Genomic DNA, 19,975 nt, shown 5'->3' with positions numbered 1-19,975 from the left:
GGAAGCAGTCAGATGCACGTCTCTATGTAGCATGAAAGCACTTTCTCCGCTCAGTTCTTTACAAAAAATAATAATATGTAATAGCGTTCTGTTTATTTAATAACCAGCTCTCTGCTCGGGAAGCAGTTTGGAAACACTGCGTGTTACATAAATGCAAAATAATCACCGTAATCACCGTCTTGGGGTGGGAGACAACAGCCCCAGGGGGAGGGCGTCAGTCTCGGAGCTGCGGGTTTGGAGTATGGCGGGGGGGCTTCGTCTCTTTCGGCGGCCCCTTTGCCAGACGGCTCAGGACGCTCGGGCCCCCTCCCGCCCCACACCGCCCCACAGCGGGCGCGGAGAGTCGGCTGCTGCGGCAGAGGCGGCTCCTCGCTCACCTGCGGTTCCTTTCCTGGAGGGTGAGGCCGGGGCAGCCTCCTCCCGGCCTGGCGCGGGACCGGGCTCCCCCTCGGAACTCTGCTCCCAGCTCTGGGGGCTCTCCCTGGAGGAGACACCGCGGGCTTCCTGCCATCCAAGTAGCTGCATGACCCACTTTCCCGAGGGTGCCCCGCGTGTCCTTCCTCGAGGTGCGGGCTGCCGGCAGCCGAGGGGTTAACCTCGCGCCCGACCCCGGGGTGGCCCTGGTGGCCCATTCTGACGGGTGGGGTGGGGACGGAGGCTGGGACCAGCCCAGGCATATTGTGCTGGGGAATGAACTGGAAAATGCGTTTAGGAGGCAAATCCGACCGAGTCCCCTCGCCTGGATTTAACCCTTTGTGTCCCTGGGGAAGCTGCCGAGCTCGCCGGCTGACTGGACACCAAGCGTGGGTCAAGGGGTGTGGGGAGTTCCTCCAGCTCTCTGGGTAGAAACCAGAGACGACCTGCAGCTCTAGCAAGATGGGATTTTGGGGAGGGGGGCGGATCTTGACTGGAGCACGTGGTCCCCGCCTTGGGGTGGCAGAATAGGGGGTCAGTGTACAGAGACCATCTCCTCGTGGGGCAGGAATATTAGATCCCGAGTTCCTGCAATGTGCTTTGCCGCAGAATGGCCAGGCAGTTTGTTATCGAGGGAACAGTCTGGCTGCCTAGTTCCGGGGCTAGGGTGCACTCCTGGAAGGCAGAAGCCTGGCCTCATTCCCTTCTATGCCTCTTCTGCTGCCAGCCAGCTCACTACGAGGGCCCCGCCAATCTCACTAAGTGGTGGATGTCTGGGAAGCAGTTTGTGAAAGCCAGTACTGGGGTGCCTCCACCCGTGAAGCCTGGGGTGCTGCCCTGCTCGATGTGGGGGGTGGGGAAAATCCAGGGCTCACAGGTGTCACTGCCCACCCTGCCCCCAGAGGGTGGTCTTGGTGAGAGTGAGAGGTCTTCTCACACTGGATGGCCTGGGAAGCCAGCCAGAGATACAGAAGTTCGGGCTCTAGGACTTGCCTGGCCATGGGGATTTGAGCTTCCAGGAACCCTTCAATTACATATGTCCACATCCGGAACCCAGAGAAACGAGAGCTTCCCAGAGCTCTGGTTGGTCCAGCACACTAGGGGTTAACGTAATCCTGGGATGGACAAAGGGTGGTGGGAAGGGTTGGGAGAAGGGGAAGGAACTCACCCTATTCTCCTTCCTTTTGTTATTCTCTTTCCCCAGCTTTGTGATTCCTTCATGGTTAATTCCTTCATTGGGGGCTAGAGGCCTGCTGTGCTCCACCCACTCAGGAAGTGGGAGCAGGGAGGTGAACTCACCTGGCTCAAGGTGGATACAACCCCTGCCAAAAATCTACATGAAAGGGTGGGATGCAGAGAAAGGAACCAGGGTTGAGAGAGGTACTTAATAAATGCTCTTCCATTGACTGTAATTGACTGATGGGTAGCATCCATGCACCGAAGTTCCCGGACCGCCCAGCTCCTCTGCCCAGTGGCTGGGCTCCTGGTGCCTTCTCTGCTTGCTTGCTCTAGGGTCCACGGGTGCAGGGAGGCAGGTGGATATGGTTGTGCCCAGTCTGACACTTGGATGGAGGCTGGTTGGCCCAGAAGTTGCAAGCCCACACCCTACTTTGCATCACCTGCTGGCTTCCTCCCCATTGCCCGCTATAGCGTCTCTCTAGGGACTTGCCAGTCTGATGCTCTTTTCAGGGTTTTCCTGGGCTGTGACAGGGAACCTGGGTCTGGGGGTTTGAGGAGAGGAAGAGGGAGGGGCCTGGAGTGTGTGTGATTGCCCCCAACTTCAAAACACTCCCAATCTGGCTATTGAAGTGTAAACACAGAAGTATGTTTTCAACAACACAGACTTTACTAAGCAGTGTGGTGAAGCCCCAAAGGCCTCTGTTTCCTGAGATGACAATCCACAGTTTCTTCCTGTTAACTTAGAGGAGAGGGTCAGTGGGGCAGGTGGGTTACATCCCAAAAAGAGATAGGGGGAGCCCTAGGAGGAGGCAGAGGACCTGCTTGAGAAGCAGGTGTGTCGAGCTGTTGTCCCACCTACACCACACCCTCCCTAATTGGCTTCCCCACACCTTTTGTCTGGAAAGAGAACACACACCCCAGGTGTCATGCACACCCTCGGAAGACCTGTCGGGTCACAGCACACCCCTCTCTGCAGCCTCTCTCTGCAGCTTGTGCAGAGCTTGCTGCCATGTGGTCTTTGAAATTCCAAGTGTCGGGGCTATTGGGTTATTTTCCTTCCTCTCTCTCTATTTCTCACATACAGTGGTGTCCTTCAGCTTGCTGGGCAAGGCATTATGGCAAAACCAATTCTGCTGGCCTGGGGTTTGCAGCATGTGTAAATGGGAATCTCCTTACCCATTTATAAGGCAGCACTGTGGAGTGCCTTGGAATTGGATTCTAGGCCTCCGTAGTCAAGGCTGGAGGGGAAGAGGAGATACTGCAGAGCTTGGGCCCAGTTGCCCTGGCTGAGTGGCCCGGAAGGCATCTCTTGAACCTGAACTTCAGAGCATATGGGACAGGTAGCCCTTGTTGCCTGAGGCTTGCTGAGGCTAAGAGTGTTATTGGTTCCCTTCTCAGCCACTCACCTTTGTACAATGAATCCACCTTGGCTACTGTTTGACCCCCGGACTCTGCTGTATGTTTTCAGGATGGTTGAGCCGGCCAGAACCCTAGTGCTGATGACTGAGCAAGTGGACCAGGCTTGGGGGGCAGAGGGTCAGTTCCAGTTGCTGTCTATGATACTGCCATTGTTTAGCAGCTGACTAATGTTCATTGTTCAGCACAAACAGAAAATACCCAAGGGAGGTGTGAATGTATCTTCAATTTTTCCGATTGTATCTCTTCCTGGTTAACCTGGTGAATTGAATGCCTCCTACCTCAGAGAGGGACAGACAGAGAGGTGTCAGCATATTCACCTGTTTTGCTGATTTAAAAAAAACAAAAAACAAAAAAACTTTAAACATTAGCCAGTGTGCCAGGCTAAAATGGTCATGAGCCAGCTGTGGAACTTAAGCTGTGACATTTCTGACAGTCTGCATAGGGTCTCACCTTTAGTATAAAGTGTGTGTGTGCACACAGGTATACAGGGCTTTGGTGTTTGTGTTGGTGATCTACCATTCACTGTGTGTGTGTGCATCTATGGGGACTAGGAGTAGAAGGTGTATGTGCTTGTGTCTGTGGGTCACTATGGGACTAGGGCCATAAATATATAACATCGAATGTATATTCACATATAACTGACTGCTTAGAGTTTTCTGACTAGGACCTGTGAGTGGTCCAGACTTGAGAATGCCTATTTTATGTGTCAGAGTGTCGGTGAGGGTGACTTTGGGAGGGCACCCAGGATTTGCCCTTGGTTAGCTCTTCTAGGACACACTACCGGGTCCTTTGGGGGGTGGGAAGCCTCTATGATGCTTCCTTTTTCTGTTCTGCCCTTGGCTTTAGACTGGGCCTCTGCCTGCTCGCAGGGAGATGCTGAAGACCTTGACCACACCGGGAGAGATATTCCTCTCTTGTCAGCCTTCTGTTGTCTCCCTGGCAGGCATAGCAGCACTGGAACCTGGCATTACCTGGGGCCTGGCCTGCCCCACGAGTTCTCATGATCCATGAACGGCTGGGAGGGGCAAAGGGAGGCAGTTTTTCAGCTCCTAATTTGGCATCTTTGCTTCCTACATGGGTATTTAAGAAAAAGAATCATGGTGTGTGTGGGGAGGGGAGGTAGCATACTCTGGGCAATTAAAAAGGGTGTGAGCATGAGCTTTGGTCCTCCATGAGGGCCCTGCAGAGCTGTGTGTGCCCAGGTGGACAACATACGTGTGCCTGGAAGCATCCTGGGTTCACGCAGCAGAAAGCAGGAGCCCCCTTATTGGAAAAAGAAGTGGGAATAAGGGACAAGGAGTGGGGAAGAGGGTGGTCCTGGGAGCCCAGCACCCTGTGCCCAAGCCCAACTAGAAAACGTTTCCCCATGATGCCCACCGCTGTCCACAGAGACCAGGTCTGCAGAGCCAGCAGCAGATGTGCTGGCTGGGGCAGGAGGTAACTTAAGATCTGAGCACGGATCACCTTGCAGAGGGAATGCCCTGAGCTGGAGATAACACCCTTTAGTCCAGTTAACTCTTTAAGCTCTGGATTCTCTCGTGCTGTTGGGGGCTAGGAGATGGAGAAAGGGAAGAGATATGAGAAAACACATGGAACATAATATCTGTACCTCACCCCATTCCACAAGGAGAGATGAACTCAGTGTAACAGGAGAGACCCGAGATGGACACAAAGACAGACTTTCTGACAGCAGATTGTAGAATCTTCAGGGCAATAGATTATCCCAGGTTTGCCCTGGGTGGGGGCTGGGGAGGCAATAGGTATGTATTCTCAGGCGGGGGCAGCTAGTGGGAGGTCTGCCTTTCACAGCCTCCCAGGAGAGAGCAGAGCAGCAGTGGTCCCAGGCCCTGGTGGAGGGAGAGCAGCAGACAGCTCAGTTCCTCTCCCTACAACCTGATGATCACTCCATCTTGGCAGCCCAGCATAATGAGATTGCAAATTGGGGCCCACTGGCCTGGGTTGGAATCCCACCTCTACCAATTACTAGCTGAGTGACCTTGGTCAAGTCACTTTACAGGCCTCAGTTTTCCCTTTTTTTTTTTTTTTTTTTTTTTTTGAGACAGAGTCTCGCTCTCCCCCAGGCTGGAGTGCAGTGGCAAGATCTCAGCTCACTGCAACCTCTGCCTCCTGGGTTCAAGCGATTCTTCTGCCTCAGCCTCCCGAGTAGCTGGGACTACAGGCAGGTGCCACCACACCTGGCTAATTTTTTTTGTATTTTTAGTAGAGACGGGGTTTCACCCTGTTAGCCAGGATGGTCTCAGTCTCCTGATCTCATGATCCGCTCACCTCAGCCTCCCAAAGTTTTCGTATCTTTAAAATAGGTTTTTGTTAATACAGATGCCCAAAGAGGTTTGTGAAGATGAGATTGAGAATGTTGTATGAAAAGTGCGTAGCACATTGCCAGGCATGTGAACACATGCAGTGAAGTGAACTTCTATCCCCTATGCCTTCCCTCTCAATGGTCCTGGCCCCTCTGAGTCTGCTACTCGTGTTCCCTTGAGAAAGAGCCACTCAGCTGCCTGCGCACTGCTGACCTCACTTCCCGTGTCCCCAGCCAGGTGCTACTTGGGAAGCGAGTCCCTGCCCCCACTCGGGAGCCTGGCTGCCTGTGGGTAATGCACAGGTTCAGCTGAGGTGGTTGAGGGCTACCTAGGCAGCAGGTGCTGGGTGGCCTTTGTTCTGCCGCCTGTCACTGAGGGCTCTCCCGGCACCTGCCTCGCTCCCTGGCTGTGGCCCAGCTGGGGCACCATTGCCCATCTGGAGGCTAGCCGTGGCCATAGAGAGGGCCTGGGACTCAGCCCCTGCCTTCTTTCACTTCCACATTTGAGGGGAAGATGGACCACAGCACCATCCCTCCAGGACTCCACTCACCCCGTGAGATGATATCAGCCAGATGGGTAGAGAATCCCTGCTGGGGTCACCTCCTTCTCACTGGCAGAAAGTCCCTTCAGCCTCCTGTTACAGACTGAATCCTTTTGCAAATTGTCATAATACTGTCTGTGGCACTCTATAGCCACAGTTTCAGCTGAGCCTCTCAGGAGCCCCATGTGAATGGCATTAGTGTTGTATTAGTTCCATTTTAGAGATGAGGAGAGTAAGACCTAGGTTTAGTAATTTGCTGACCGTCTTATGCTCTTGTGGCCAAATTAGACACTGGGTCTTCTGACTGCAAATCCAGTAAACCAGAAGGATGAAAAGATCGGGAATGGACAGACGGAAGAGGATGAACCAGGCCAGTAGGATGTTAGAAAGTGTCCATGGGACGGTCCTCCACTTTACCAGCCACCACCAGCTCACACGCCTCCTACAGCAGGGCAGAGCCTGGCAGCTCCCTGGGGAAGTGAGTAATAAGTTGAGGATATAGGTTGGAGGGTGGCCCAGCCAGAGCTGACCACAGAGCCCAGGTTGGTGTAGAATAGAGGATGCCTAACAATGGAACGTTCCTGGGGGCCAGGGAAGCAGTGTCCTGGAGCATCTGTCTCTGGGTATCTGGGCTGAGACATGGGCAGGGCCCCTGAGGTGTGAGCACGGAGCCCTGGGGCACAGGCAGGCACAGTGCCAGGGTGTGGGCCTGGCCCGGAGCAGAGAGCAGGTGTGGACTAGACAGAGCAGCAGACAGGCACGGGGGCTGGCCCTCTCCTGGACTATCCCCCACCCACTCTGGTCAGCACAGACCCCAATTTCATTCTCAGTTTATGAGGAGTCTCATTACCAAACCACAGACAATAAAACCCTCCTGGCCACTCTGGCCTGGATCTCATTAGAGGACATTAGTTCCACTGGCTGGTGGCTCCACAGGGACACAGCTTCGGGAGTTGGGACACAGCTGCGGGCGTGGCCCAGGCAGCAAAACAGGCCAGTGGCCTTGGGCACCAGAATGTCCCACTGGGAGTCTGAGTTCAAGCTATGGGCTTAAATGGAGTCCCTCCCCACAAAGTCCTGGAATTCTTGCTTCCCAAAGCTGGAAATGTGTGTCCTGCCCACCCACTTGGATGCTCAGTTCTGCCCCCTGCCTGAAGAGGAGGACACAGCTCCCTCCAGGGCTGTTCTGGGGAGCCGGCCTTCTCCGGGAGGAGCTGGGTGGAAGCTCAGCAAATCATCATTCCATGGAGGAAGGCCCTTGGGGACAGGGGACAGAACAGCCTCCCACACTCAGTACATCTGGATGTGCTCTGAGATATACGCCCTAGCACCAGAGATGGACTCTGGAGTCCTCGCAACAGCCTTGGCCTGAATCTTGGCCTGTCTTTCTGTCTGAAAAGCAAATGTAGGGAGTTGGGGACCCTAGAGAGGAAGCATTTCCCCTCACCTATAGATGGAGTTTCACCGATGGCTGAAAGAGCCAGCCACTACGGAGAGCCAGCAGGTAGCCTTGGCAGGGGCTTCCTAGTCCCACCCCTCCCCAGCTCGCGTTCCTTGTCCTCAGTCATTGTGCTGGGGCCTTGGATTCCATCTTGTGGTTCTTCCCACCAAAGACAGGAGGATTTCTTTCTTAGCAGATTCTGGTGCCTGCTGACCGGCAGCCTTCTCTCTGCCTGTACCTTCCCCTCTGCTTTGCGTCCCTCCCCTGCAAGCCTGCATACCTGCTGGTCATCAGAACGCCGCCATGGCTTGAAGGAGGTGTCCATGAAAAACAAGACAGGAGCCAAGGCAAGCGTGTCCCTTCTCGATGCCTCAGGCTTGTGAAGGAAAATGAGCACCACGCCCAAATAACTGGCTTTTAGCACACACAGGCTCACGCGGGGTGCTCCCATGGGGGGCCACACGGGTCAGCCCACGCTTTCGCAGGTGCCTGCCAAATGAGTCAGTGGAGATGGGAGCGCCAATCTGCTGGGGCAGATGTGAGTCTGCCCTGCTGTGGAGGAAGGGGGACTGAAGGATTGCGTGGGCTCGTGGAGTGCCCCTGTGAGGGCCTGCCAGCAGCTGGTCTGGGGTACATGCCCCGGGCAGGACTGGGGAGGCAGCTGCTGTGACTGTTCTCTGTGCCCCATGCACCTTCTCCCTCAGTCCCCGCGTCTTGTGGACAAATGCTGTCAGGTGCTAGGACAAGGGCAGTGGAGGAGGTGCCTCTGGTCCTAGCCAGCTCTGCCACCACGTCATGTGGGTCCCACTGCAGGGGAGGATGGTGGCACATCCTCAGTCTGCTGCTCCAGTCTGCCCACACTGCTCCTTGGGTGAATCCACCTAAAGCACATCTGAGGGGGCACAGCACCACCCTAACTGGTCCCCCACTGCCCTCCCCCGCACACCATGCTTTCCATGCCCAGCGCTTTCCTGCCTCCGTGCCTTTGCACATGCTGTTCCCCCATTCCCGCTTATTTCCCATAAATATGAAATCTGAATACTGAAGTCAAGAGCCACTTCTATTGTGAAGCTTTCATGACCCGCTCCCCCCGCAAGCTAAGGATAACTTCTCTCATCTCAAATCCCCCAGCGCCTCATCCATGCCACCCCCTGCCAACAATTACTCTCCATCCTGCTATCCAGTCACTTGGGCCTGGGATTTATCTTCATCACAAGACTGAGAGCTCCATTGCTGATGAGGCTTGGTTTCTCCAGGGCCTGGCATAGGGGACCAGTAGGCCATGCTGGGTGGATAGACAGTTGCTTGTTTGAAACATTGATGAGGATAATAATAACACACTTGTATGGAGAATCCCTGGATGCCAGGCACTGTTGTAAACATCTTACATGTAATCACTTAGTTAATCTTCATAACAACTCATATGGAAGGTACTTCTGTTCTCCCCAGTTTTATATATGGAAAAATGAGGCCCAGATAGAGCTTAGGTAACTTGCCCAGGGTCACGCAGCTAGTAAGTGGCAGAGCCAGGATTCTGATTCCAGAAGTCAGGCCCCATGTCCGTGTTTATACCATGTGGCTGAGCTGCCTCTCTTCCTGGCGGGTGGCAGACAGGTGATGGAGGAAGACCATTTCCTAAGCCTGGAGTCCTCACAAGACTTTGCTTCCAGAATCTCTTCCCACCCCTGCATAGCACCTTCTTATTCACATTCCTGTCCCTTCAGTGGTGCAGCGATAACCTGGTGTTGTAGTTGTCCATGCCTGATGCATTTGGGGAGTTATTAGTGCTGAATCTTCAGAGAGTCTTGGCGCAGGTTGAACATCCCTAATCCAAAATCCGAAGCTTTTGGAGGCCGACATGACGCCACAAGTGGAAAATTCCACACTTATCCTCCTGAAGGGTCGCAATCCAAAGGCAGTCAAAACATTATTTCATCCACAGAATTATTAAAGCCACTGTATAAAATTACCTTCAGCCTATGTGTATAAGGTGTATATGAAATAGAAATGAAATTTCATGTTTAGACTTGGGTCCCATCCCCAAGATAACATTTCATGTATACAGATATTACAAAATCTGAACAAATTTGAAGTCTGAAACACTTTGGGTCTCAAGCATTAGGGATAAGGGATATTCAACCTGTATTACTGGTATATCCTGCCACAGACACTGTTGTGTCTTGGGAGTATTCATGTGGCTGTGCCAGAGTGGAATGTCTTGAAGTTATCACTATTGCATCTCCTGAGTCTTTGGGCATCACTGATACCATTTGGGCCCCCTCACACACACCATGTCTCACGGTGAGACCAGAGGCAGGTATAGTAGCTCCTCGGAGAGAATCTGCCTGGTCCCCCAGCGCGTGTTCCCAGGCCAGCCCCAGATCCTGGGTGGATCCAGGGCTCAGCAAGCTGATCCTATGCCAGAGCCTGTTCTAAACTTCTGGAAGGTTTCAGGCCCTCTTGCCCTCACCCAGAGATCCCAAAAGATGGCAAGGGAGGGCCCCTACTAGGGAGTGTGGATGGGGAAAAGGATTTAGGGTGTTCTCCTGGGCCGGCTGCTTTGATCTCCTGGGATGAAAGGGCTGGTGCTTCCTCTGCCCCAGGCAGGATCAGGACAGCAAGCTGGGGAGAGAGGCATTGATCCTGGGTCCAGGCGTCCTCAGCTTCATAGGCGAGGGCAGAGAACTATCCCAGGGAAGAAGATCACGGGGGCAGAAAAATCAAAGCCCTTCCCCAGGGTTGTGGCTGAGGACTGGGAGTTGACTTCAGACAGTCCCTGTGCAGATTGTCCTCTCGAGGGTCACCCAGGGTGATGCTCCTCCCAGCACACCCTGACCCTGCAGGTCACCATGCAGGCTCAGGCCTCACAGACTCTCTTGCTTAATTAGGAAGGTAATTCGGCTGCAAAACAGTCATCTGATCTGTGTCGACGCCAAAGCGAAATTCCTCCTAGACCCTCCGCTGTTCTAGATTATCCATGCTCCGTTAGCTTGAATTACCGCGCGGCCTCTGTGGCCCAGACACAAGCCAGAGCTATGTGATCAGCTCCTGGGGCTGGATCTGCCCTGCACCTAGGAAGTGCTTGGAAGCAACAGGAGGAAGGAGGGCATAGGACCTGCCTGACTCCCATCCAAGCCGGAGCATTGCCCAGCCAGCACGAAGGGACCAGCATTGCCCAGAGCCCCCCTACCCCCGGGCCTGCAGGTGCCTGCCGGGCTCCCAAGCTTAGCCACTTTTATGTCCCTCTCCTCTGCCCTCTGGGACCGGGCCCCTTTGAGGGTTTTGAATCAGTGGCAGAGGCTTTCTGCAGCAACTCCTAGGCATAAATTGGAGCGGAGGCAGGGACAGGCATCTCCCTGAGTGTAAATAACACTGTAAATAACACTGGAGCGGAGCAGCCACACTGCACTGGATTATTTTATCGTGATTGCCCACCTCCCCCACCCCCTGAACTGTCCCAATCTCATTGGCCTAGATTGCTGCATCTCTCAGAATGATGGAGGGGCTGCCTCTCCCTTCCCGGGCAGGGTGGCCAGCCCTGCCGTTGAGGCACCCTCCTACCCAGCAACTTCCCAGATTTATTCCCTGTCTTTATGGTGCCTGGAGAGTCATCAGTGTCCTGGGCCGGCAGAGCACTCTGATGGTCTCCACTGGCGTGATGGATAGGCCTTTGGGGGAACGTGTGCGACAGCCCCCTGCTCCCGGCCTGCCTCTGCCCTGACCACAGCACCGTTCCCCACCCTCCCAGGGGTCAGATGATGGGCCTCGTGGCCAGTCCTGAAGGGGCGGTGATGATGGAAGAGGGAGAGAGCATCAGTCCTCGGCGCCCACCTCTCAGTGCTGCTGCAGAGTCTTTCTGGCCTCCTCCCCAAGCTCTGCTCACAAACACCCTTCCCAGGAAATATCCCCATTACCCTCTCTCATCTCCCATCACTCCATTACTGCTAGCCCCTCGGCACTTGTGTACACAGTTTGCGCTGTAATGATAATCTGTGCTGGTTTATGTGTTTCTTTACAAGTGTTTTTATGTCCTCTGTGTGTGTATGAGGAAGGTTTATGGTGTGTGTGCGTGTATGAGGTCACGTGCTGTGTGTGTGTGCGTGCGTGCGTGCGCGCGCGTGTGCACGCGCCTGCTTCTGATTAGACTCTGATCGCCATCTTCTCCCACACACAGGTAGGGGGCCCTCACCCCCCTCCTGGGGTTGGGGGCACAGCCTGGCTACTAAGGGTGGGTGGAGAAGGAGGGGGAGCCAATCAAAGATGATGACTGTCCGGGCAAGGTCTACACTGCCCCCCAGCCGCCAGTTAGAGAACCGGCGAAGGTCAGTCTTAGATCATTGTTTTGTCTACAGGGTCACAAACAACTAGTTTGACTATTTTTCCCCAAGAAATTGACTGAACCCAGTGGTTATTTTGGAGTCAAATGATCTCAGTCTTTTATGACTTACCTGTGTCAGCGGGTGTATCTGTGTCTTCTCTAAACAAGTTCCCCTAGCTGTACAATGGGATGAGATGATAAGAGGCTGGAAGGGGCGAATAACATATGTGGTGTGCTTAGCACAAGCAATAATTTGCTTGATCCAGGGAAAGCCTTCGCACCGCTGGACTGTTGTGAGCTACCACTGGGAGGGACTCCCAGTCTGGAGAAGGAGGGTCCGTTCCCTGGGGCTGGGGAAGCCAGGCCCAGGAACCCTCCTGGCTGTGTGTGCCCCAGAACGCTGTGGGGAGCCCCTCTGCTGGGCTCCTGTGACTTCTCCAGGGTGGTCAATGCAAGCAGAGTATGTCTTAGTCTCAGGCCCCTGGGCTACTGGAGATCCGCCCCCCCAACCCAGATGATCACCTGGGCAGGTGCCTCCTGTGCTCCCTTCTGAAAGGAAAGCAAGGGTTTCACTCAAGGTGCAGAATTCTGGCTGCCCCAAGCGCCCAGTGCCAGTCCCTGTAGGAATCCCACTGCCCTGGATGTGTTGTGGGAGAGGCAGACAGGTTCATCCTGGCATTCACTCGACATGTGCCAGGCACAGAGGTGGGAGCTGTAGACAGCAACAAACATAATATCCAGTCCAGCACTGCATGGCATCCACGCTCTGACCTCTGACCTCACACACAGCAGGTGATCCCTGAGGGTGTCAGCTCTTTCAAGCAGGAATGCTAGTCGGGTTGAGGCCTGGGTGGATGGTGGAGAGATGGAGCTAGGGCCTTGTGGGTCAGGCCTCAGTCTCTTTAAGCCATCCTGTTTGGACGTGAAGGGACAGTGACACTAGGCAGGGGCCTGCATTCTCCTTCATTCTGCCAAGATGTGTTAAACACCTGAGCCCACTGGGCACAGTGGCTCATACCTATAGTCCTAGCACTTTGGGAGGCCGAGGCGGGTAGATAACCTGAGGTCAGGAGTTCGAGACCAGCCTGGCCAACATGGTGAAACCCTGTCTCTACTAAAAATACAAAAATTAGCCAGGCATGGTTATGGGCACCTGTAATCCCAGCTACTCAGGAGGCTGAGGCAGGAGAATCACTTGAACCCAGGAGGCGGAGGTTGCACTGAGCCGAGATCACACCATTGCACCCCAGCCTGGGCAACAAGAGTGAAACTCCATCTTAAAAAAAAATAAAAATAAAAAACTAACCTGAGCCCACTTGTTCCTCTCCCAGACCCAGGTCTGGAAAGAGCCTCCCAGCTGGGCCTGCAGCTGAAGGTACCTCCCTGCCCTGCAGGGGAAGGTGGAGAGGATGTCAGAGAATCCTGGAGTCTTAGCATTGGAAGGGAAATCAAATGCTGTAGCACCCCATTCACTTCCTAAAACCCCTAACCACATTCTGGCCTGTTGGTCATCCTCCAGCTGCAGCTGAATCCCTCCACTGACAGGGTACTCACCACCCTCCATGGAAGCCAGGACAGCCCTGACTGCCCCCAGCTCCCCCTTCCCCCTGAAGCTCCCTCCCATTAGTGTTGGAATCGCATGGAGCTCATGTGATCCTGCAGGCATTTACAGACAGCCTCGGCCCCCGTCTCACCTCTCCTGAGTCTCACACACCTCACCATCTCAGGTGCTCCCCTCAGATCCCCAGTAACAGCTCCATATGTGGGCTGCCACGCCCAGGGATGTCAGCCTAGGATTCCCAGCCACCACAGCTGTCCCAGATCTAGGAGGAGGCAGTGTGGGTGGGCCCTCCAAGCTTCCCCACCTCCCTCTATCCCTTTCCCACCCCCACCCCCTTCCCACCCCTGTTTTCCTTAGGATTAATGATAAATTTCAGTGAAAGATCCGCTTATCTCCAGTAGGAATTAAGGAATTAAGTTGGCGATGGGGAGAGAGGGGACAGGGAGAGGGAGCATACTGCAGAGGGTCAGGATGCAGAGGGACCGTGGGCAGGACAGGACAGGGCAGGGGACAGCGGGGATGTGGAGCATTCCCCTCTGCCTGCATCAGTTCACCCTGCGGTGGGCTGGGCTGTGCTCCCCACCTGCCTGCACCGCCATGGGGGATGGATGTGGGGCTGCTTGGGGATGGGTGTGGTGACTCGTGGAAGGAGGTACATCACAGGGATCCTGCAGGTGGGGTGACCTGGCAGCCTCCCGTGTCACCTGTTGCTGCTTCGTGCCATGGTGCAGTGGCTCTGTGGCATGTCATGGCCCTGGGAGGGCGAGCCACAGCATGTGTCAGGGTGAGGCACCCCGCTTTTGGCATTGGGATACAGAGGCACATTCTGCAGTTGGAAGTCCAGGGGCCACCACCCCACAGGTGGCTCATGAGTGCCATCCAGGCTCTAACACAACCCCCAGGCAGGCCCTGGCTGCCCCTCAATAGGGGCCCACCCAGAGGCTGCCGCTCCTGCCTCTTTGCTTCTTTGGTGGGACTGACTGAGTTGGGGTTCCTGCAGCAATGGCTGAAAGAATCTCTTACCCCTGGAGAATCTGAGCTTCGATGTACCCTCAGAGCAACTCAGAAGCCTCTGTCCTGAATACCAAGGGGGGGGCCACTCAGGGTCTGCAGCATCCCTTGCCCCCAAAGCCCAGGAGACTCTGTTTAGAGTTTCTCCCCAAGTCCCCAGGCTTGCTGCTCCTTGGCACCCCCCTGGCATCAGACATCTCACTGGCAAGCAACGCCGGGCCCAGGACTGTAGCCCCAAACAGTGCCTCCCCTCGCCGAACTCTGAGGCTAACCCAGGAGAGATAGGAGCTGCCCTCCAGAGGGCGGGGGGTGAGGAGGTGAGAAGTGAAGACTGGGTGGGCCAGAGGACATGACTGCCCCTCAGGTCATCCAGGCCAAGCTTCCTGCCCCAAATAAGTTTCAATCACTGCGGTCCCATTCTTTCCTGTCACCCCCAAGGCTGAGAGTAGCGGTTGGTGTTCAGTAGCAGCCACCAGAGCACCTGGAGATAAGAGGAGATAAGGGCAAGGCTGGGCAGAGACAGTCACAGTCTGGGGTAAGGGTGGGGAGGGGGCAGGGGAAGGGGGGAGACGGGGCACGTTGGGGGAGCTCAACACTCTGGAAGCTAGGGGAGGCCAGGAATTGGGGCCTCAAGTCCAGGAGTCAAACTGGTTAATAATTAGTGACTCTGGTTAATAAATCATGGATGGTTTTTTCTTCCTAATTTCAGCTTCTCCTTCCACCCCACAACCCTAGAGATCCTTCTAGGCTCTGCCCAGGCCTCAGAAAAGAAGCCCCCACACCTACCCCTGCCCTGGGCTGTCACCTCCCAGGCAAGATTCACCCTCTGTCCCTCCACAGCCCTCCATAGGCCTCTGCCCCCTCCCCCAGCTGGTTTCTGGTCTCCAAAGCCAGTGTGGTACTTAATCTCCAAGAGAGATTAGTGACCTGCTTTCACCACCCTCCCCCACAGGCTGCTTGGATGCCCCTAAATATTCCCTGCTGGAAGGGCAGGCCCCCATGGCCACCCAGAGAGCGTCTCCAGGTGCCCTCCTTGACGGTGCCACCCGCCCCACCCATTGACTCACTTGGCTGCAGGTCCTTTCTGCTGGCCAGAAGGTGTCATGGAGCACCTGTGGGTAACTGCCCAAATGCTTTAGGTGAGGTCAGTCAGCAGATGTTCTTTGGGCATCTACTATGTGCCAGGCACTATGTGTCAAGAAAAAAAATACTTTAAGCAACTGGAATTGAGGTTAAAGGCTGATGCACGTGAGCGGGGACCTGAAGACCAGGAGACTCCAGGACTGGCAGTTTAGGGTGAGGAGAAAAGGGGATGCTGGGCATTTTTCATCTCTAACTCCGGGATGCTTCCGTTAAAGGTCAGGCTGTTTTCTGGGTTTCTGTCCCTTTTGCAAGATTGCGCCAAGGGCAGAGATCTGCTTTTGTAAGCCTTGTGGTGGCTGGGGAAAGGGAGGGAGGAAGAAAAGGGGAAAGGAGTTGCCTCCTTCCCCTTTTTTTTTGAAGATTTTGAAGTTTCCCTCTTTTTGAAGGGTTGAGGCAAAAGAATGAGGGGTCCCTCTCCCGTCCTAAGCCTTGCACGTGCTGGGGCTGAGAGTACAGTAGTGATGGATGAACTGGCCTCAAAACAGGTGAGGCCCCTGTCTCCCAAGTGATCTTTGCACAAAGCCCCCAGAGATTTACTTAGGTGATTAAACTATGCCCGGGGCTATGGTGGAGACTCGGGGGCCTGAACTGGGGGAGGGGAGGGGAGGCTTCTCTGGGACCGTGACCTTGATTCTGAAACCTGGAGGCTGAGAAGGAGTGGGCTGGGACGTGACCAGGACAGCCAAGGGAGACCCAGCCACGAGCATGCCTGGAAGAAAACCAGCGCCTCCGCAGCCTGTGGACTGGGACTTGAAAAGAACAACCCCCAAATCTGTTCTCTCTGATTTCAGCCTGACCTGTGCGCAGTCCAAGCCCAACTTGTCCAGAGCCACCCTTGTCCTCTTCTTCCCAAGACACAGCCCTCCCTGAGCTCTTCCCATTTCTGTGATGAAAGCCCAGTTCTGCTGTGCACCGGAGCCCTGGCTCCCTCCTTCACCCCTGCCTCTGATTTGCTGTGAGTTCTTATCCCATTTCTGCAGGACCCCTCCCCAATCCTAGCACCACCACACCCATCCAGCCATTCCTGTGCAGGGTGACAATAAAAAGTGTCCTCAGACATTGCCGAATATTCCCTGGAGGACAAGAGCACCCCAGTTGAGAAAACACTGGTCTAGGCCTTCACTGCAACCAGCCTCTTTTTCCAAAACTGCTTTTCCACTGACTGCTCTACACTCCCACAACTTTACACGGACCTATTTTAGGTTCCAGTCAAAATAAACTGCTCCTGGCTTCTCCAGTGCACTCCTCGGCCTTGGCTCCTGATGATGGCTGAGCCCCAACACACCCACCTGTGAAATGCGAGGCTCCCAGACACCAGCCCCCCTTCCCCTTCTGTGTTGTTTAGTATTTACTTTCTCTCCTCCCCTCACCCAGCACCTGAGCTCTTTGAAGGATAGGACCCAGCCTTAAAATCTCTGCAGGCCCTAGCTCAGCACCTTGCACACAGTAGGTGTCCCATAAATGTACAGTAAACCGATGGGAGCTGGCTGGCTTCACAACCCTGATAAGCTGTGAGGTTTCCTTCTCCATGCCTTTTTTTTTTTTTTGAAACAGAGTCTCACTCTGTTGCCCAGGCTGGAGTGCGGTGGCACGATCTCAGCTCACTGCAATCTCTGCCTCCTGGGTTCAAATGATTCTCCTGCCTCAGCCTCCCAAGTAGCTGGGATTACAGGCACCCACCACCACGCCTGGCTAATTTTTGTATTTTTAATAGAGATAGGGTTTCACCATGTTAGTCAGGCTGGTCTCGAACTCCTGACCTCAGGTAATCCACCTGCCTTGGCCTCCCAAAGTGCTGGGATTACAGGCATGAGCCACCGTGCCCAGCCAGCCTCCCGTGCCCCTTTCTTTCTGTTTTTGGTTTTTTTTTTTTTTTGGCAACCCTATTTAACCCCCATGCCAAGAAAGGAAAACTTCTGATGCTTTCCTTTTACTTGACACCTCCCCTCCCATCTCATTTTGTTTGCAGTAAACAAAATCATCTTTTTTCCATTTGCTCAATATTTATCAGCACCAGGAAGGTCTGCGGTTATGTGTGTGTGAAGTTGTGCGTGGATGTGTGGTTTGACAGGCGGGCGCTGTGTGATGGCACGGTTCTTTGTGTGGGGTGTTAGTGTTTGAGTCAGAAATTATACTCTCCACACCAGGACTTGTATGGGGTCTTCTCTCCCATGAACTCCTCTACACTTCAAACTCCTCTCACACTGGGCTTATCCCATAAGCTCTGACCTTTCAGTCCACCATGCCTTTGCTGTTCCTGTCTCCTCTGCCTGGAGGACCCTACTTCACCAGCTGGCAAACTCCTACTCATCCTTCAAAGCCCAGTGAAATTTTACCTCCTGTGGGACACCTCTTGTTTCTCTAATTCTCCTCCCCACATTCATCATTTCTTCCTGTATCATCATGGCACTTTGTGAACAGTCCTACCGTAGCAGTGATCATGTCAGTGAATTTATCCTGTGTCCTTGATATCCTTCACATGCATACACACGCATGCAGGGCTGTGTGTGTGTGTGTGTTTATAGCCCTACTGGCAGGCACTTGGTAGGTTCTTAATACTTGTTTATTAAATAAATGAGAATAAATTGCTTGCTTGGTTTTCCAAAGCATTTTCTTTGTACGGTGTTAGAGGAATGTGTCTGTGCAATGACTCTGCCTGACCTTCCCGCACTGCTCCCGCGTGTTCCTGAGCATGTCGACCTGTGTGCATACCGCAGCGTTCAGCTGCACATGTGTGCTTGGGTGCGCGTGTGTGCGTGCATGTGGCTCTGTTTCAGCGCTTCTGTAAATGGAAAGCTGTGGCTGCCCCTCCCCAAGCTGACATTCCCTCAGCACCACGCCCCCACCTTTGAGGACTGAAGGGGTGACTGGGTGGTGACTTCCCCCAGGCAGCTTTCTCTACCCACCTGATGTCCCCCTCCAAGAACGGTGACCCAGGGTTTCCCGTCCATCCTGGGGGCTGAGCTCTCTGCGGCCTCGTCACATCACACTCCCTTCCCTATCCATCTCTGCCCTGTTTAATTGGAATTTGGCTAGTGGAGACCATCTGTTCTATTCCGGCCTGTTTCCATGACAACCAAGTGGCTTGAGACTGAGGTTTGTGGTGAGAGAAGTGGCCTGGGGGATGCTGGGAAAAACCAGCTAGGTCCTCCCCCTCAAACCCGCTCCGCCTCGTCCTGCCCTCTCTCCACAAACCCGGAGTTAAAATAAAGCTGTTCCCTGCCTGAGAGTTGGGGAGTCCCCGAGCATCACTCTCCTCTCCCAGCCCCCAGCCCCCAGCCCCAGTCTTTCCCAGGCTCCTTTCAGGCTTCCCACACGGGGCTCCCCTCCCTCCCTGCTTCCATTCAAGAGCACCTTCTGCCCTTACAGACTAGGGAGCTAGCCCTTCCCTTCCCCAACCCCTGAACCTCCACCCCTGGAAGTGAGTGCTTCCTCACAGCCTGGTTACAGACGCTCAGGGCCCCACAGAAAGGACTCTTTAGAGGGTAGTCTCGGCTTCCTCTGCGCCCCTGCCCCTGCAGGCTCTCCCCCGGCCCCAGGTAGCAGAGTGGCCCAGGCAAGTGCGTGGCAGACAGAGGCGCCCTGGGCCCGGATGTGGAGCTGGTGATCCCAGATTCTCAGGGGCTGAGACAGGCCCTGGTACACTGGGGATATGAGTGAGGGGGTCTCTTATTTCTGAACAGACAGTTCTGTTTTCACGGTGTTATTTTCTGCCCTAATTTCCCCATCTATGGCAAAGCCTCTTCGTGCCTGTTCTATTACCAAGGGACCCGCCTGTCTTCAAAAATAGGTGGTGTGGCTTGTCAGGTGACCGTCTGTCGCTCTGGTCCCAGGCATCTCATGCAGGATATGTGCGATATGTTGGCTATGTGGGCGGGCGTGGGGGGTAGAGTGTCTCAGGATCTCTCCGGTGCCCCCTCCCCCAGCAAAATCAGTCCTGGGCAGAATCAGTCCTGGGCAGTCCTGAGGAGGGAAGCTGAGTCTTGGACTTCAGAAGACCGGTGCTCTTAGCAGCTGCGCTGAGCCGTGGGACCCCAGGGCCCCCACGCTTGGGGGTGCTGCAGGCTTGCAGAGGTCTTCTGGTAGCCTGCTTGTCTCCAGCCTAGCCCTGCCATCATCCATCCTTCTTCATGTGCCTCTTTTCTTCTTTTGTCTTTGTTGAGATATAATTCGCAAACCACAAAATTCGCCCTCCTGAAGTATACGAGTCAGTGGCTTTAGTATATTCACAATAGGCCGTCACCACTGCCTAATCCACAGCATTTTCATCACCTCGGAAAGAACCTCGGTATTCATTAGCAGTCACTCCCCATTTTCCCTCCCCCGGCCCCTGACAACCACTCATCTACTTTCTGTGTCTATGGATCTGCCTATCCTGGACATTTCGTATAAATGGAATCATACAGTATGTGGCCTTTTGTGACTGACATCTTCTACTTAGCATTCCATGTGCCTCTTTCCAAAGCACAGATGTGACCATGTCACCACTTTGCTTAAAAGGCGTCAGTGGCTCCCAGTTGCCTACAAGGTGAAGTTCAGACCCTCATCTAATACAAAGCCCTTTTACAACTGGCTCCTACCTTGCTTTCCATTCACCCTGTATTCCCCTCTCCTCTGCCCCACATAT

At 54.3% G+C, this 19,975-nt stretch overlaps 1 protein-coding gene and 1 long non-coding RNA gene across 4 annotated transcripts in view, besides 4 other annotated features; one reads left to right on the top strand and one right to left on the bottom strand.

Moving 5' to 3' along the window:
- Positions 1 to 19,975, top strand: part of NECTIN1 (nectin cell adhesion molecule 1) — a 91,103-nt gene that overhangs the window by 916 nt on the left and 70,212 nt on the right. The window lies entirely within an intron of this gene.
- Positions 561 to 1,503: an enhancer, noted in NCBI's record as "NANOG-H3K4me1 hESC enhancer chr11:119597492-119598434 (GRCh37/hg19 assembly coordinates)". NCBI's record gives its function as "activates a minimal SCP1, AML or CMV promoter by ChIP-STARR-seq in naive H9 embryonic stem cells {active_cell/tissue: H9 hESC(naive)}" and the evidence as "EXISTENCE:reporter gene assay evidence [ECO:0000049][PMID:30033119]".
- Positions 3,792 to 4,292: an enhancer, noted in NCBI's record as "H3K4me1 hESC enhancer chr11:119594703-119595203 (GRCh37/hg19 assembly coordinates)". NCBI's record gives its function as "activates a minimal SCP1, AML or CMV promoter by ChIP-STARR-seq in primed H9 embryonic stem cells {active_cell/tissue: H9 hESC(primed)}" and the evidence as "EXISTENCE:reporter gene assay evidence [ECO:0000049][PMID:30033119]".
- Positions 9,583 to 10,356: an enhancer, noted in NCBI's record as "H3K4me1 hESC enhancer chr11:119588639-119589412 (GRCh37/hg19 assembly coordinates)". NCBI's record gives its function as "activates a minimal SCP1, AML or CMV promoter by ChIP-STARR-seq in naive H9 embryonic stem cells {active_cell/tissue: H9 hESC(naive)}" and the evidence as "EXISTENCE:reporter gene assay evidence [ECO:0000049][PMID:30033119]".
- Positions 13,398 to 14,038: an enhancer, noted in NCBI's record as "H3K27ac-H3K4me1 hESC enhancer chr11:119584957-119585597 (GRCh37/hg19 assembly coordinates)". NCBI's record gives its function as "activates a minimal SCP1, AML or CMV promoter by ChIP-STARR-seq in primed H9 embryonic stem cells {active_cell/tissue: H9 hESC(primed)}" and the evidence as "EXISTENCE:reporter gene assay evidence [ECO:0000049][PMID:30033119]".
- On the bottom strand, positions 14,360 to 18,365 carry NECTIN1-AS1 (NECTIN1 antisense RNA 1). The gene is made up of 3 exons (NR_183634.1): positions 18,255 to 18,365; positions 15,273 to 15,393; positions 14,360 to 14,686 (listed from the first exon to the last, which is right to left on the bottom strand). It is a non-coding gene; the product is annotated as an NECTIN1 antisense RNA 1 (long non-coding RNA).

Source organism: Homo sapiens, chromosome 11 (genome assembly GCF_000001405.40).
Source record: "Homo sapiens chromosome 11, GRCh38.p14 Primary Assembly".
NCBI classification, from domain to species: domain Eukaryota; kingdom Metazoa; phylum Chordata; class Mammalia; order Primates; family Hominidae; genus Homo; species Homo sapiens.
This window is presented reverse-complemented; position numbering and strand designations above follow the sequence as displayed.